The 19,347-nt window shown below is 35.9% G+C and overlaps 1 protein-coding gene across 1 annotated transcript in view; it reads right to left on the reverse strand.

The window, feature by feature from the left end:
* The window catches only part of TCF4 (transcription factor 4), a 413,773-nt gene that overhangs the window by 383,373 nt on the left and 11,053 nt on the right, over positions 1 to 19,347 (reverse strand). The gene's annotated exons all lie outside the window — the stretch shown is intronic.

Consider the following 19,347-nt stretch of genomic DNA (forward strand, 5'->3'; position numbering starts at 1 on the left):
ACATTGAACATCTATCTACATTGGACAAGTGGAGGTAGGAATGATTAACTGGAAACATAAAAAAGACGGACTTGCATTAGTACTCCAAGTTGATGAAGGAAATCATACCAGTTGCATATGCATTTTTCATACACTTACATAAAGATGCGGCTACAATCACATATAGTTTCACACATACTCCAAAACCTGATGAGGCAGATATTAGTACTCCGCATTTTGTACATGAGCAAATAGGGGCAACAGAGGCAAATAACCTAAGAAGCGGTGGAGCCACAGCTGAAACAGGTTTTGCATTCCAAAATATGTTTCACTTTTGCTGTGCTGCTTTCAAGAGCAGTGGTTCCCAAAAAGTGGTTCTCAGACCAATTGTGTCAGTATCAGCTGTGAACTTATTAGAAATGCAAATCCTTGGGTCCCACCCATACCTCCTGATCAGAAACTCCGGGGTGGGCCCAGCAATCTATTTAACAAGTCCTCGTGGTGCTTCTGATGAATGCTCAAGTTTGAAAATCACTGCTCTGAAAAGTGAGATTATGCTTCTGCAGTTAGGGTGCTTCCCCATTCCAGTCCCTAATACAGTATGAGATTCAATAACGGTAACTACCCTCAAGCACTTACTATTTGAATAAGTAGTTGCTTGAGCGACACATTTCTAACCAAGGAGATGAGAGAAGATGAGAGTAAAATAACACACACTTTCTTCCTTTGTCTACACATTTGGTCTAAAGTTACGGGGAACATCTTTATCCCATTACTTTTGAGAGTGTGAAAATGTGATGATTGCTCTTTTACCCCTTTCTGTTCTTCCACTGTGGGAATATTAACGGAAATGTTTCTCTTCTTCTCTGTTCTGAGCCTAATTCACAGCCCAGAACCATAACTCAAAGACATAATTTGAAGCTATCTACTTTCTTTCAAAGTGCCATTGTCATTTTATCCTGGACACAGGCTAGATTTTTGTGAAAGTAATAATATGGATTTATAACTCAGCAATGTTTTCATCTGTGGAATTATTTTGTCAACCCAAAGTTTGGGGCAGATAAAGGTAGAAATTTCATTTCAAACAACAGGTAATATCTATAACTTAAGCAGGGTAAATATTTTTCCAGGCAAAACAAAACAAAACAAAAACTAGATTAAAATAAACCAATAATCAGACTTGATCCTGATGAAAATCGTATTTATTCAGTAATACTTGTTCTCCTGGTGACAACTGAATGACAATTGAAATGATGGAGAATATTTCTCTATTGTAATGATTATATTAAATTAATTCATAATATTTGCTCAATAACATTGTTTGCATATACTCCCATGGCTAGGAAAGTGCTACCTAGTTCATTTTTCACACATCAAAATCTGGTAACTTGATATCATTATATTATCCTCCCTAGAAATGCTGATGGGGTCTGGTCTGCACATCTCAGAGGGAAGGGGGAATGAGAACAGTGGGTGACACCAGGCACCATATGTTCGGCAATACCTACAGCACAGTAGGCACAATGGGTAGAGGTGAGCATGTTCATGCCTCATCTCTTCATTGTTGGGGGATGTGATAAAAGTTACGTTCAGATTTTATTTATTTTCCAAGTATTGTATTTTCTCTTACGCTTTTCTAAAAAAATAAATTCATGGCACATCAGAATATACTCCCATCTTCTCGAGGAACCTGTAAACCAGTGGAAGTACTTTTGATTATCTGACAGTGTCTAACAAAGCATCTGATAAAAATGTGTTGTTCTTAAAAGTCAGTAGGTCAAACGATCAATTGAATTTGATGCTGAATTTTAAGATAAATTTTCCAACAAATTATGAGAAAAAGGTGTGTATAAGGTGGAGTGGAGATTTCTCCCATGTTACAAGGCCAGTGGATCCAAAAAATGATAATTTCTACTGTTAACCCTGCTCCAGGCTGCCTTTCTTCAGCAAATTTAGTCTCCTAAGGGAACTGCCAAACAATCAACAGGACAAAACTCAGGAGAAGCTATTTCCTAAGGGACTAAACAAAGATTTTGGAATTACATGCCTTGAGTCCTAGCCCTAGGTCTGTCAAAGAGCTTCATATGCCACTGTTCACACGTTCCATTTTCTAGTTTTTAAAAATCAGAATAACTATATCATCTCCCATTCTCAGCACTCAATTAACAATGAAAAGGTTGTTGCGGATCCAAATGCTATCATTCCGTCAATAATGATAATCATAAGGATTTAAAATGTGCTAATTCCATTTAAGGAATGAATTCAAGGAAAGAAAATGCCAAGATTTTTTCAATGTGAGTTAACAGCAGTGCAGACTGTAGAATGCCACACTCAAAGGTGTGGGCTGTGTTTATGCTTCAGTTACATTTTCACTAGACAAATACAATTTCCCTGCCCAGCTTTTCATTCAAGTGGTGACTCCTAACACCTGTGAACAAATGTGCTTTGCCCTGCTAATGCTGATAAAAACTACAAATCTGTCTCCTTCACTGTTGATCTACAAATGGAAGCTGCGTGCCACATGCTTCGTCTCACTGTAACCTTAATGGAAAAGCAGCAGGGCTGTTAGCAGAATTTCCTAGACCACAAAAAGATAATATTAATTCAAGCACTTTAGGAAAATTCTCAAAATTTATTTTCTTCTCCTTGATAACATTATAGAAGATTTTAATATACTGATATTTTGAGGGGTTAAGTACTATGGCTTACTAGCAATGCAATTTATTAAACAGTCACGTTAAATGGTCAACCATCTTAAACTCCCACTCCCAATAGCTTTAAAGATTTATAATGCAGGGAGAAAATTAGACCGATCTAGCATCTTGCCACAGTATTTTTTTTTTTTTTTTTTTTTGCAATATGGGGCTTTAGTTGTCACAGGTCAAAATGCCATCTTGGAAATAAATGGACCTTGAGTATGTTTTAGAGGAAGGCATTGAGTTAAATACGCATCTCCATTCCAATTAGTCTGTATGAGCCATTTAAAGAATAAAAGAGATGAGCACATTTATTTTTGGTTCCACAAAATTCTGCTTTGTGACTTGTCTCAAGATTTGCATATTTTTATAGAGCATGTTAGGCAAAGAAAGCACTGTGCTATGGGCCGTGGGAATAATGGTGACTAAGACAGCGTCCCGCCTTCAAAGAAGGTATTATCCTTTTGAATATAAGCTCCCAAGGGCAGGAGTCTATTTTATTCATTGAGAGCCTATAATACACCCTCAATAAATAGTTGTGAAACCAATGAATAAATGGTGGGGTGGAGTGGGCGGTAGGAGGTATGGACATTAATGTATACAAATGCCAGTAGCTAAATTGGAAAAAGGTGGGTACTTTGGACTAAATGCTTGTATCACCTCAAAATTCATGTGTTGAAGGCTAATCCCCAATGTGATGGCATTTGGAGGTGAGGAGGTAACGAGGTCAGGAAGGTAGAGCACTCAGGAATGGAATTAATGCCCTTATATAAAGAGGAAGAGACACAGGCTCTTTCTCTCTGTTCTCTGCTATATGAAGATACAATGAGAAGACAGCCACCTGCAAACCAGGAAGTGGGCTGGGCTCTTACCAGACATCAGATCTGTCCATACCTTACTCTTGGACTTCCCAGCCCACAGAACTGTGAGAAAAAGATGTTTGTCGTTTAAGCCAACTGTTCTGTAGACATTTGTTACAGCAGCCCAAGGTAAGATGGTCGGAGAAGGCTGTGCTAAGTATGAACTAAATATGCCAGTGGTCAGCCATATATTCTCAATGAAGCCACTGCTGCTGGGAAGACTCATACGGGGGGCAGGTTTTTCATGAAAATCCTTGAGGCAATAGTCTAGGAGTGTCCTTCACCACACACATATTCAGAATTTGCTTTCTGAATGGCATTTGCTGGGTGCCTGATGAATTCAGAGAAATGTAATGAAGAGAGATGCTGTTCCCACCAGCAGTTTTCAGGCTCTGAGCAAAGGTGAGGCAGCCTCAGAACTACTGAAACGGGTGTGCTTATGGCTTGTGTGTACAGAGGAACGTGATAGCTGTGAGCACCAGAGTTGCAGTAAAATTGCTGAGTCTGAATTTTAAAACACAAACAAAAAAGGCAGGAGTATCATGACATGAACATGTCATAACCCTGAAGACACAGATGATATGTGAACTTGGCTCACTCATTCTGTTCCAGCCACTTTAGACTCTGCATTTTCCCTAGCATAACAAGCATCCTTCCTCAGGGCCTTTGCACTTGCTGTTCGCTCTGCTTGGTGCACTTTTTCCCTAAATATCTGCAGGGCTCCTTTTCCTACCTCTGTTGGGCCTTTCTTCTAATGTTACCTTCCCAGAGAGGCTTCCCTAGTTACTTTGTTTGATATCACAACTTCCACACTCACCCCCTGTTTGTTTTCTTTTTCTCAATAGCACTTTTCACCATCTGTAGTACCATATGTTTTACTTATTTGCTTATTTTTTTTTTTAGTCTTCTCTGCCAAAAATATAATCTCCATGAAGGCAGGGTTTTTGTCTGTTTCTTCACCTAGTAGCACCTAGACCTGTGCCTAGCCTGTAACAGGCACTGGCCAAATATTTTTGGAATGAGTGAATGAATAGAACTTGGATCCAGAAAAGTAGATTTTATAGGTCTACATGCCAAACCCTGACAAACGTGTTTGTAAAAACCCATCATAAACATGCAGATGAATGCATTTATATAGGTGCAGAGGTCAGGAGGAATATCCATTTCCCTGGCCTAATGTTTTCATGCAGAGGGACTTCTGCCAGGGTAACCGACCTTTTCCCTATGCCTTACTCCTGCGGGTTAATTTGGTTTGAGTTTGGTTGGCATTTCTGAGCATTTTCAGTGCCTTGTTGGACTCCTTTGTCTTTGGAGGATGCCACAGGACATGGAGGCTCTGATCCTTTTGTTCCTGCACTCAGTTTGGAGTAGACCTTTGCTGTCCAGCTCTGTTGGTGACTTGGTGAGTGTTTCATTGATGAGTGAAGTATTAGGGAGATTTCTGGGCCACTAATCAAAAGCCACATTCTCTCACCATCTGTCTGACTCCTGGATCTGTTTTTCCATTGATTCCAAATTCAGAAGATGATAAAAAGGGATGTTATATATTAACTACTTAACAGCTACAACAGGAAGATATCCATCAAGATGGAAAGATTACACCCAGGGAAGTGGTTCACATGGCAGCCCAAGACATTGCAGAGGGAAGAGTCTGGGAGAGTACAATTTAACCGCAAAACTTGGCTCTGCCTTTTGTGACATTTGTTTTGCTTTGCAATTTCAACAGCATTTTACATGAGCTGGATTTAATATAATTGATGAAAATGGAACACTACCTACCATGTACTGAAACGCAGCAATTTTGCCAGTACAGTAGGTACTGATGCCCCTTCTTTTCTTATGGTGAAGAGTTAGACAGTGGGCCCAAGAAAAGCTTCCAAGATTCATTGACACTTACCAATTTCAAACAGTGTGGCACAACACTAGCTGACTGAGAAATAAGAGCAGAAGAGAGAGCATTATGGTGCACAGGAGTTTGGCATGAGGCAAGGCTTTGGGGAGATTGAGATTTTAATCCACAGAGTCAAAAGCTGCGGCTGCTGCTCCAAATCTTGCTTTGGTAATAGTTGCAAGATAAGCAGCTGATTGGGCCCAGACTACTCTGGGCTGGCTCCATCTTACATGACTGCCACAAACAGCTGCAGGAGTGTGACAGATCACAACACTAGCATTGTACCTCAAAATATGCTTGTACCCTAAGGCACAAGAACTGGTTTGACTTACAAAACTGATCTCAGAGTTGGGATCAAAGTTTTTCTACCACTCTACTATGAGTTCATGATCGGCTCCTTTTTCTTCCTAATCACCATCTGCTACCCTGCCAAGGCCAATTTTTCTTCAACTATCACCACAAGATTCTATCCATGACACCCTACCTAGAGCCTTCCACCCTTTTACAAAACCAAAGCTATATAGCACCATGATTATAACACAAGTTAATGATTTTCCGAAGTTGTCATAACAAAAAGCATAACATTGCTTTCCCCAGTAGGATTTAAATCAGTGCTTTCTGACAGAAAGATAATACAAGACACGTGTATAATTTGAAATCTTCTAGGAATTACATTGAAAAAGTAAAAATAAGCAAGTAAAATTAATTTGATAATATATTTTATTGAACATAGTATATGCGAAATATTATAATTTCAACATAAAATCAATGTAAAAATATTTTTATTTATTTATTTATTTTTTGAGACGGAGTGTTGCTCTGTTACCCAGGCTGGAGTGCAGTGGCACAATCTTGGGTCACTGCAACCTCTGCCTCTCGAATTCAAGCGATTCTCTTGCCTCAGCCTCCCAAGTAGCTGGGAATACAGGCACTCGTCACCATGCCCAGCTCATTTTTTTGTATTTTTAGTAGAGATGGGATTTCAGCATGTTGGCCAGGCTGGTCTCAAACTCCTGACCTCAGGTAATCCACCCGCCTTGGCCTCCCAAAGTGCTGGGATTACAGGTGCAAGCCACTGCACCCGGCCAATGTACAAATTATTAATGAGCTATTTACATCTTCAGAAACTGGGCTGTATCTTATAATACCACTTCTCAATTTGGATGAGCCACATTTCTACTGCTCAGTAGCACAGATGGCTAGAGCCTACTGCATTGGACAGGGCAGACTGAGGTGTTACCTCACATTTCTAGGGGGATTGGGAATTGGGAATGATGGGCACTCTTGAATTGAGTGAGAGTTGCTTCGGGATATGAGGGGGGAGAGTGAGAAAGCAGGAATGGAAATGCTTGAGGACCAACGTAATGAAGTGAGGTCTATCTTTTATTTTATTTGCTTTTAAGGAATTCCATATCGTGTTTGTTGCCAAAGCTTATCTGACATTGAGCAAAGTAATATGTTGAGCCTCAGTTTTATCATAGATTACATGGGAACAATAATAATGTAAAACAATAATATGATAAAAATAATCATGATATGTAGCTCACTGTATTGTTGTAATGAAAAAAAAACATGGGAAAGTGAAACACTCCACACTATTAATAATTTATTTTGTGACAATTTGGCTGTTTTATTTTTTTAAATTGTATACATTTAGGAGGTACAGGTGCAGTTTCGATACAAGAATATATAGTTAGCCAGGCCCGGTAATCCCAGCGCTATGGGAGGCTGAGGCCGGCGGATCACCTGAGGTGAGGAGTTCAAGACCAGACTGGCCAACATGGTGAAATCCCATCTCTACTGAAAATACAAAAATTACTTGGGCGTGGTGGTGCGTGCCTGTAATCCCAGCTACTAGGGAGGCCGAGGCACGAGAATCGCTTGAATTCAGGAGGCAGAGGTTGCAGTGAGCCGAGATCATGCCACTGCACTCCAGCCTGGGCAACAGAGCAAGACTCTGTCTCAAAAAATATATATATATTGTTTAGTACTGAAGTCTAGGTTTCAATGTCACCATCACCCCAATAGTGTACTTTGTACCAATTAAGTAATATCTCATTGCTCATGCCCCTCCTACCTTATTTCATATTCTTAAAAAGTAGCTCTGTTGAGGTGTATAAGTGTCAAATATATTTGACATTCAATAAACTGCACATATTTAAGTGTACAATTTAATATGCTTTGATATATATATATATGCCCATGAATAAGAAAATGCACATGTCACCCCAAAAGCTTCCTCATGCCCCTATGTTATCCCTCCTTCCCAATCCTGCCTTCCACTTTCCTTGCCTCCCATCTCAATCCCCAGGCAACCAATAGTCTGCTTTCTGCCACCATGAATAGTTGGGATTTTTTTTGGAATTTTATACATATGGAATCATACAGTGTATATTTTTTGTTTTATTCTTTTGGTCTGGCTTTTTAAACTCAGAATAATTATTTTATGATTCATCCATGTTGTTTCAGGTGTCCATAGTCCATTCCTTTTTATTGCTGGGTAGTATTTTCTGTATTAGTCTGTTCTCACACTGCTATAAAGAGCTAAATGAGACTGGGTAATTTATAAAGAAAAGAGGTTTAATTGACTCAGTTCCACATGGCTGGGAGGCGTCAAGAAACTTACAGTTATGGCAGAAAGCAAAGGGGAAGCAAGTACCTTCTTCACATGGTCAGCAGGAGAGCAAGAGCAAAGGGGGAAGTGTTACACACTTCTGAACAGCTAGATCTCACAAGAACTATCACACGAACAGCAAGGTGAGAAATCTGCCCCATGATCCAAACGCCTCCCACCAAATCTCTCCTACAACATTGGGAATTAAAATTTGACATGAGATTTGGGTCGGGATACAGCGTCAAACCATAGCATATTTCACTGCATGTATGCCACAATTTGTTTATCCATTTACCTGTTAATGGTCATTTGGGTTGTTTCCAGTTTTAGGCTATTATTTATTTACTTATTCAGGCTGTCACTCAGGCTGGACAGCAGTGTCATGATCATAGCTCACTGCGGCCTGGGCTCAAGTAATCCTCTGGTCTTAGCCTCCCAATCACATACCACTGCATCCAGCTAATTTTTAATTTTTTTGTAGAGACGAGGGTCTCACTGTATTGCTCAGACTGGTCTTGAACTCCTATTCTCAAGTGAGCCTCCCGCCTTAGCCTTCCAATGTGCGGGGACTACAAGCATAAGCCACTAGACCCAGTGTGGGACTATTACGAATAAAGCTGCTGTGAACATTTGTACACGAGTCTTTGTATGAACATGTGCCTTCTTTTCACTTAGTTACATATCTAGGAGTAGAATGAGTGCTATATATGGTTAGGTGTGTGTCTTAGGAAATTGTCTCACTGTTTTCCAAAGTGGTTGTACCATTTTAAATTCCCACTGGCAGTATAAGTAGTGTGTAGTGTGTAAGAGTTCTAATTCCTCCACATCCCTAAAGCATAAGATATGGATGATCATTTTAATTTTAACAATTGTAATAGGTGTGTAGTAGTGTTTCACTGTGGTTTTAATTTGCATTTCCTCATTGACTAATATTGTTGGATCTTTTCATATGATTATTTGGCATCAGTATAAAGGTCTGTTCAAATCATTTTCTCTTTTAAAATTGGGTTCTTAAAATTTTTTTTGAGTTTTAAAAGTACTGTATATATTCTGGACACAGTTCTTTTATAATACATATAATCTGGAAGTATTTTCTAGCAGTCTGTGACTTATCTTTTTATTCTCTTAACCATGTTCTTTGAACAGCAGATTTTAATTTTGATGAAGTCCATTGTACTAATTTATTCTGTTTTGGATCATGCTTTTGGTATGGTATCCAATAAATCTTTGCCTAATCAAAGGTCACACAGATTTTCTCCTAGATATTCTGTCAATTTAGCTTTTCCACTTAAGTCTGTGACCCATTCTGAGTTAATTTTTATATATGTTCCAAAGTATGAATCAAAGTTATTATTTTTATTATTATGATTTTGCTTAAGGATATCCATCATTGGTGGAAAAAAGTGAGTTTTCTTTATGTGTGCATCTATTTTTGGACCCCCAACTCTGTTCTTTGTCTGCATTGTGGTAAATACCTCAGTGACTTGATAATAAATTAGAAATATTTTGTCAATTTCTACATAGCCTTCTAAGATTTTCATTGGGACCATGTTGAATCTATAGATTAATTTGGGGAGAATTGACATGTTAACAGGTCTTTGATGAATGAACAGGCTATATCTCTTCATTTAATTAGATCTCTAATTTTTCTCAGCAATGATTTCTAGTTTTCAGTGTACAACACTTGCACATTTTTGTTAGATGTATCTATACATGTACACTTTATTAAATTTAAATTTCTAATTGTTCTTAGTATATAGAAATGTAACCAATTTTTGCATAAGTTATCTTGTATCCTGAACCTGGCTAAACTCAAACTTGCTTTTTTTTTTAAGATTCCACCAGATTTGCTACATAGGTGATCATGTCTTTAGAACAAAACAATTCTACTCCTTCATTTCCAATCTTGATGCCTTTTATTCCTTTCCTTGCCTTATTACATTGGCTATAACCTTAAATGCAATGTTGAATAAAAATAGCAAGACCATCTTTACCTCCTTCCTGATTTTAGAGGGAAAGCACTCAGTCTTTCACTATTAAGTGTGATGTTAGTTGTAGACTTCCATCAATAACCTTTATCAGATTGTGGAAGTCTTCTTCTATTTTTAGTTTGCTGGGGAGTTTAGTTAGGAATAGATGTTGGAATTGTCAACATCAAATGAATTTTCTTTAAAATTTTGGTTTTAATATGGTGAATTATACTGACTGATTTTCAATTGTTAAAACCAGCCTTGAATTCCTGGAATTAATTCCACTGGATCATGATATATTGTCCATTTTATGTAATGTTGAATTTGATATGCTAAAATTTTGTTTAGAACTTTTATATCTGTGTTCATGAAGCATATTGGTCTTTAGTTTTGTTTTTTTATTGTGTTAAGAAAACTTCACATAAAACCTACCCTCTAATTAAAGAAGTTTTTCAGTGCACATAGAGTATTGTGAACTATAAACTCAATGCTGTACAACAGATCTCTAGAACTTGTTCATCTTGCATAACTGAATCTTTGCACCCATTGAGCATCAGTTCCCCATTACTTTCCTTCCCAGCCGCTGGCAACCATCATTCTACTCTCTGCTTCTATGAATGTAACCATTTTACATACTTTATATAAGTTGAGTTATGAAGTATTTGTCCTTCTGTGACTGGCTTATTTCACTAGCATAATGTCCTCCAGGTTCATCCATGTGGTCACACATGACAGGATTTTTTTAAGGTTGAGTAATATTCCATGGTGTATATGCCACATTCTCTTTATCTGTTCATCCATTGATAGAGATTAAGATTGTTTGGATGTGTTGGCTATGTGAATAATGCTGCAATAAACAGGAGATTGAATATCAATTTGAGATCCTGATTTCAGTTCTTTTGGATATATACCAGAAGTGGGATTACTGGATCATATGGTGTTTCTATTTTTAATTCTTTAAGGAGTCTGTATACTGTTTTCCATAGCAGCTGCACCATTTTACCATCCCACCAACAGTGCACAAGGGTTCCAATTTCTTCACATCCTCACCAACATTTATCTTTTCTTTTTTTAATAATTGCCATCCTAACAGGTGTGAGGTGATATCTCATTTGCATTCTCTTGATGACTAGTCATGTTGAGCATCTTTCATATACCTGTTGTCCATTTATATGTCTCTTTTTGAGAAATGTCCATCCAGTCTTTTGCCCATTAAAAGTACTTTTTCTTGCTATTGTGTTGCAGGAGTTCCCTATATACTTTTTATATTAACCTTCTATCAGATATATGGTTTGCAGACATTTTATACCATTTGGTAGGTTGCTTTTTCATTTTGTTGTTTTCTTAGCTGTGCAGAAACTTTTTAGTTTTATGTAGTTCTACTTGTCCATTTTTGCTTTTGCTGCTTGTGTTTTGCTGTCATATCTAATAAATCATTGCCAAGACCAATATTGTGAAGTTTTTCCCCAATGTTTTCTTCTAGGCATTTTACAGTTTATGAATTTGTAAAATTTTAGGGGCTGAAAAATTACATTTAAATCTCAAATTTTCCTGTGTAAGGTAATGGTCCAATGTCATTCTTTTGTGTGGGTATATGCAGTTTTCTCGACATCATTTGTTGAAGAGATTGACCTTTCCCCACTGTGTTTTGTTGGCACCCTTGTTAAAGATCAGTTGACTGTATATGCATACCTTTATTTCCAGGTTCTCTGTTCTATTGGTCTATAGATCTTTTTTATACCAGTACCATACTGTTTTAATTACTGTTGCTTTGTAATATATTTTGAAATCAGAAAGTGTGATGCCTCCAACTTTGTTCTTTCTCAAGATTTCTTTGGCTATTTGAGATCTTTTGTGGTTACATAAGAATTCTAGGATTTTTTTTTCCATTTCTGTAAAGAAAATGCCATTGGAATTTTTATAGGGGTTCCTTTGAATCTGTAGGTCACTTTGAGTACTATGAACATTTAAGCAATATTGTCTTCCAATCCATGAATATGGGATAGCTTTTCATTTATTTGTGTCATCTTCAATTTCTCTCATCAACATTGTGTAGTTTTCAGTATACAAGTCTGTCACTTCCTTGGTTATGTTTATTTCTATTTTATTCTTTTTGATGCTATTATAAATTGGATTGTTTTCTTAGTTTTCTTTTTTTGGTAGTTTGTTACTGTATAGAAACACAACCGGCTCTTTAATGCTGCTTTTGTATCCTGAAACTTTAGTGAATTCATTAATTCTAACTGTGTGTGTGTGTGTGTGTGTGTGTGTGTGTGTGTGTGTAGTCTTTAGAGTTTTCTACATGTAAGATCATATCATCTGAAACCAGAAAAAATTTTACTTCTTCCTTTCCAGCTTGGATGCCTTTTATTTCCTGCTCTTGTATAATTGCTTTGTCTAGAACTTCCAGTACCGTGTTGAATAGAACTGGTAAGAGTGGGCATCCTTTCTTAGTCCTAATCTTAGAGGAAAAGTTTTCAGTTATTCGCCATTGAGTACAATGTTAGCTATGGGCTTGTCATATGTGGCCTTTATTATGTTGTGGCAAATTCCTTCTATACTTAGCTTTTTGAGAGTATAATTATAGCGTTCATTATATTACAAAAGTTTTGAATTTCATCAAATACTTCTTCTTCATCTATTGAAATGATGATGTGATTTTAAAATTCATCATTCTTAGTGTGATCTATCACATTAATTGATTTACATATGTTGAGCCATCCTTGCATCCCAGGGATAAATCTCATTTGGTCTTAGTGTGTGATCTTTACATTTCTAAGAATCTATCCATTTCTTAAAGATTATCCAATTTGTTGATATATACTTGTTCATAATTGTCTTTTATGATTTTTCTTATCTCTTTGTATCAGTTGTAATGTTTCCTCTTTAATTTCTGACTTTATTTGAGTTTTCTCTCTTTTTTGTTAGTCTATCTAAGGGTTTGTCAATTTTATCTTTTTAAAACATCAACTCAATTTCATTGGTATTTTTCTACAATTTTTCTTTTCTCTTTTTTTTTTGTTTGTTTTTTTGAGACAGGTTCTCCCTCTATGACCCAGGATAAAGTGCAGTGGCATGAGCACAGCTCATTGCAGCCTTGACCTCCTAGGCTGAAGTGATCTTCCCACCTCAGCGTCATAACTAACTGGGACCACAGGCACATGACACCATGGCTGGCTAATTAATTTTTTTTTTTTTTTGTAGAGACAGAGTCTTGCCATGTTGCCCAAGCTGGTCTCAGACTCCTGGGCTCAGGCTATCCTCCTGCCTCAACTTCCTAAAGTGCTGGGTTTACAGGTGTGAGTTGCCTTGCCTGACCTCTATTCTTTATTTTGTTTATTTCTGGTCTAATCTTTAAGGTTTTCTTCCTTCTGCTAATTTTGGGCTTAGTTTGTTCTTTTTTTTTCTTGTAATGTCTTTGTCTGGTTTTGGTATCAGAGCAGTGCTGGATTCATAGAATGAGATTAAGGTTATTCCTTCCTATATCATTTAAATGTTTAGTAGAATTCACTAGCAAAGCTATCTGGATTTGTGGTCCTGTGGTTTTGGGTTTTGTTTTGGGTTGTTTTATGTTTGTTTGTTTGTTTGTTTGTTTTGGTGGTGAGATTAAGGAGGTTTTAAAGTACAAATGCTCTTTCTTTAATATATACAGGGGTGTTCAGATCATCTTATCTATTTCTTCTTAGGAAGCATTGGTCATTTGTAACTTTTGAGAAATCCTAACCCATTTCCTCTAACTTGCCAAAATTATTGGCACAAAATTGCTAATCATATTAGCTTATTTTCCTTTTAATATTTATGGAATACGTAGTGCTGTCATTCTCTTATTCCTGATACTGGTAATTTGTGGCTTTTATTCTGTCTTTGTATGCTCTATTTTGGATAGTTTCTATTTCAGTATATTCAAGTTCATAAATCTTTTCTTTTACAATGTCTAATCTACCATTAATTTCAGACATTGTTGTTTTCAGCTCTAAAAGTTTGATTTGGTTCTTTGAAAATATATACATATCCCTTCTATGTCTTTGCCTAACTTTTAGAAGAAATGGGATATAGTTTTAAAAAGTGCCTTAATGTCCTTGTATTATAATTCTATCATCTATGTCACTTCTGAATCAGTTTCAATTACTTAATTTTTTTCATTCCTAATTACTTGTTATATTTTCTTCCTTTTTGACATACCCAGTCATGTTTGTTTCCATTTCAGGCATCTTGAATTTTACTTAGCTGGGTGCTGGATGTTTTTGTATACCTATAGACCTTCTTAAGCTTTTTTCCTTCCCTGGAGTGTGGTTACATCATTTGGAAACTGTTTGATCCTGGAGGATTCATATGGTTAGGCTTTGTGTCCCCACCCAAATCTCACCTTGAATTGTAATCCCCATAATCCCCACGTGCCAAGGGAGAGACCAGGTGAAAGCAATTGAACTGTGGGGGTGGTTTCCTCCATGCTGTTCTCGTGACAGTGAGTGAGTTCTCATGAGATCTAATCATTTTATAAATGTTTGGTAGTTCTTCCTGCATTCATTCTTCTTCCTGCCACCTTGTGAAGAAGGTGCTTTGCTTCCCCTTCACCTTCCACCATGATTGTAGGGTTCCTGAGGCCTCCCCAGCCATGCTGAACTATGAGTCAATTAAACTTCTTTCCTTTATAAGTCACCCAGTCTTGGGCAGTTCTTTATAGCAGTGTGAAATGTTCTAATACAAGGACCTAACTTTTAAAATTTGTTAAGTGGGACCAAATCTGTGCTTAATTGAGAGCTAATATTTCCGACTAACAATGCAAGACCCTTATGAATACTCTGCCCATCGTCCTCTAAATTATGAGGTTTCTTTAGACTGGCTGGTGGTTATAGACACTATTCCTGGTCTTGTGAGAGTACTGAGTAATGTTCCTTCTAATCCTTTCAAATGGTTCATTCCTGGACCATAGGTTGTTTCATTACATGTGTTCCTCAGTACTTTGCTAAATACCTTTTGGTCTGATTCTCTGTTCTACGAACTCAGGTGGCTTTGGTCTTCCCCACTTTCAACTCTGTCTCAACTCAGAGAGCCTACTGAGTTCTGCTTAGGTTTTATCTTCCTGCACTGCAGATCTGAAACTGCCTTAAGCTATTAGGCTGGGCAATCATAGGACTCCCCTTGCTTGTTTCTTATCTTTTAATGATCAGTATTCTTTGTCGTCCATTGCCCAGCAAAGTGAAATTATTATCTCATATATTTTGTCCAGTTCTTTTTTTTTTTTTTGGTTCTTGCAGGTGGCTGGATAAATCCAGTCCATACTCTTCATCTTGGTTGGGAACAGGGTTTCTTTCCTTCTTGCAACAAACATTTATGTACCAGACAATGTGATTTTCCTTAGAAAATTATAATACCACTTTTGTAGTGGCTGAAAGAAAAATATTATTGTTGATAGAGTGGGCCAATAGTATGCACAATCAGCTATTGTGATCTGGTAGTAATACCAGAAATCCTTATAAAAATAAAGAAATCAGAGCTTAGTTATCTATAATGTTGATTCTAAAAGGTTACGACTCTTTATGGAACATAACCCAGACTCTATCTTACATTTCTTCATATAGTTACACTAGCTGTGGGACACAGGTCTCTAGGCCTTCATTTTTTCATCTAGAAAATGGGGATAATTATAGCAACTCCTCATAGGGTTCATAGTGAGGAATAAATGAAATAGTATCTGCAGTGCTATTAGATTCAGGCCTAATGCACAGTAAATGCTCAAAAAGATTAGAAAATATTTAACATATCTTTTTCTTTTTAAGTAATAAAAAAGATACTTTCTTTAAACTTATGGGGTACTGCCTGGTATATGGGGTACTGCCTGATATATATATTATATATAATATATAAAAATATATATATAATATATATAATATATAATATATATAAAAATATAATATATATTATATAATGTACATTATATATATATTATATAATATTATATAATATATATATTATATTATATATTATGTACATTATATAATATTATATAATATATATATTATATTATATATTATGTACATTATATAATATTATATATAATATATATATTATATAATATACATTATATAATATACATTATATAATATACATTATATATTATATTATATAATATATATTATATAATATATAATTATATTTATAATTATACAATTGTATTTATAATTATAATTATAACATATAATATATAATATAATATATATTATATATTATATGTTATATTATATATTATATTATATAATATATATACACTATATACAATGTATGTATTATATTATATATACACTATATATAATATATACATTATATATTATATATACACTATATATTATATATACACTATATACTATATATACACTATATATATTATATATACACTATATATTATATATTATATATACACTATATATTATATATACACTATATATATTATATACACTATATATTATATATACACTATATATAATATATATACACTGTATATATAATATATATATACACACTATTATTTAATGTCCAAAATGGTCTACATTCACTTTATCCTTAGCCCTCATCCTTCAAGATTACACACACACACACACACACACGCACTCACACACACACCCTCTTCTTTTCTTTTATGTAGACTTAAGAGTAACTGTGGCCGGGAGTGGTGGACCATGCCTGTAATCCCAGCACTTTGGGAGGCCAAGGTGGGCAGATCACGAGGTCAGGAGATCGAGACCATCCTGCCCAACAGGGTGAAACCCCGTCTCTACTAAAATACAAAAAATTAGCTGGGCGTGGTGGTGTATGCCCGTGGTCCCAGCTACTCGGGAGGCTGACGCAGGAGAGTCGCTTGAACCCGAGGCAGAGGTTGCAGTGAGCCGAGATCACATCACTGCACTTCAGCCTGGCAACAGAGCGAGACTCAATCTTAAAAAAAAAAAAAAAAAAAAAAGTAACTGCTTTGTTTAGTTTATCATAATAGTGATATTCTAATTGTAGGCATCCATTTTCAGAGTTGGACATGCACTTAGTGACTATCTTATCTAATTCCTGCTTTGAATGAAATTGCAATTTAGAGAAAGCAAGTGATCCGCCCAAAGTCATAAAGTTGGTTGCTGATGAAACTGGGTCTCCAGATTTTCCATCCAGATGCTCTTTCCACACAACAATGTTACCTCTCTTTCTCATTCTCTAGGCCTCTTTCAGTTCCGGCAAATACTTTGATTGACAAATAGGAATTTCACAGAATATTATACATGCATTTGCACGAGAGTTCTCTATCAGATTTAAAAACTTCTTTCTCCACTCTGTGTGTGTGTGTGTGTGTGTGTTGTGGAGATGGTGGGAGTGGGGGAAATGGGAAAATCTAACCAGACACAATGTAAACCAAATTAGTTATTACAACAGAAAACCATAGAGTGGCAGACAAGAGATTCCCAAGTCCATCTCACTCATTTTATAGCTAATAAAATTGTGAATTTGGAAATTTAAGTGACTTGTCTTAGTTTGGAATTTGAGTAAGTTAAATTTTGGTCTGAAATACTTTCCATTAAACACACTGTCTTTTGTTTTTTAATAGTGTGTAACTTCTTGGATAGTTACCATGGATGATTATAATAATGTGTGGTCACTATGTCAAAATTTCTATAATTTCTTTAAAGAAATTCTTTGAGAAGTTTAGATCACCACACAACTTTAAATATTAACACTATTAGTTATTTATACTTTCTTTTTCCCTTTTATATTTAACATACCTCAAGAACAACAAAAATAGTTCTTAAAGCTTTAGCATTATGATCGTAGTGTCTACAGAAATAATAAACAGAAAATGTATCTAGAATTAGATTTTGGCTTTAGGATATGTTTGTAAATAAGACACATTTTTTAAACTGTATATATGTTTTTACAACATTCAAATCATCTTGCAATGGAAGTATGAATTTTATTACATCACAAATGAATACTATGTGAATGCAAAATTGGATGCTGTTTAATCTTAGACAGTCTGGTTTTTAGAATAATTATGTGACTGAAATTGCATGAATAATGATAATTTGTTTGGTAGTGGATCGATATTTTTTTTTGAAAGTGAATCCATCATTTTCTTTAACACGCCTGATCCTTGGATCCTTGGGCATAAATTTTCGGTACAGCACATGGGGATTTAGCTATGTGAGTCCCATTAGTGTGAATTGGAGTTTTGCAGCTAGATCCATGAGCTGAGCAGTTGCTTTTTAATGTTATTTTAATATTTAATGGTTATTGCAGGGCTGTCAAGCTGGGACTATTTCAATGAGAGAGATTTCCAGAACTTATGAGAGAGATTTTAAACATCTATTCAGAGGATATTGCAATATCCTTTATTAGAAGAGGAAAATTCTTTAGAGAGAAACCTCCCAATTCAAAAGAGAGTTTCTCTTTAATTGTGGCAAATTTGAGAATGAGATAATACATTTCTTATTTTTATTAGAATTATCCAAAGGATTTATTAAATTGCTTTCATCAGGTAACTTAGACATTAATTTTGTGAAGTTTTAGTATTAGATAGAGTGAGCAATAAAGGGGTTTTTATTTTTGTGTTTGTTAATGGTCATTGTTTTCATCATTAATTTTATATAAATTTTTTAGTTAATTGGTACTCTTGGTTTTTCTTAAAATTCTGTAGGCAGAATTTTCACAGATCATTGTATTTGAAGAGACCTCCACGAAGAATCAGCAGTTTTTACTGCAAGGTAGATTATTTAATAATTTCAGAGAAGGGTCTCATTATAAGGGACACAAGGCTGCCTTCCTCTCACTGGGCATCTCCCTAAATGCCTGGTGGCCCTCAGGAAGTCAGTGCATGTTCAAGTGTTCTGGAAGAGTAGGAACATCTGGGCTTCAGTCCTTAAAACATATCACATATTATTTTGATCAGTTTTAATAAACATGAATTCTTATGTCTGAGCTAGCCCAAGAAATCAGTCAAAGTCACCAGGGAGAAGTTGTGGAAAGACCCAGATTAAAAAAAAAAAAAAAAAGAATAGCCATATGTATCCATCGCTTATCCCTTTTTTCTCCTGAAGCTCAAACTTTCCTTCTCTTCTTTGACTCCACTTGTCAACCTGTGCAAGTTTCTACATTCTGAAAACAAACCAACCCTTTCTCCAGGCAGCTCTCCCTCTAGCTATGTTCTTACATCCTTCGTTTCATTTACTACCCAACTCCTTGAGATAGCCATCTAAAAAGCACTTTGTCCCTATGTCAGGTATAGTAGGTATTAATCGTACCATTTTGGCATTTATCTTTTTAAGTACCTCTCTGCAACATGCCACAAACTCTTCAGTGTCAA

Source organism: Homo sapiens, chromosome 18 (genome assembly GCF_000001405.40).
Source record: "Homo sapiens chromosome 18, GRCh38.p14 Primary Assembly".
Lineage (NCBI taxonomy): Eukaryota > Metazoa > Chordata > Mammalia > Primates > Hominidae > Homo > Homo sapiens.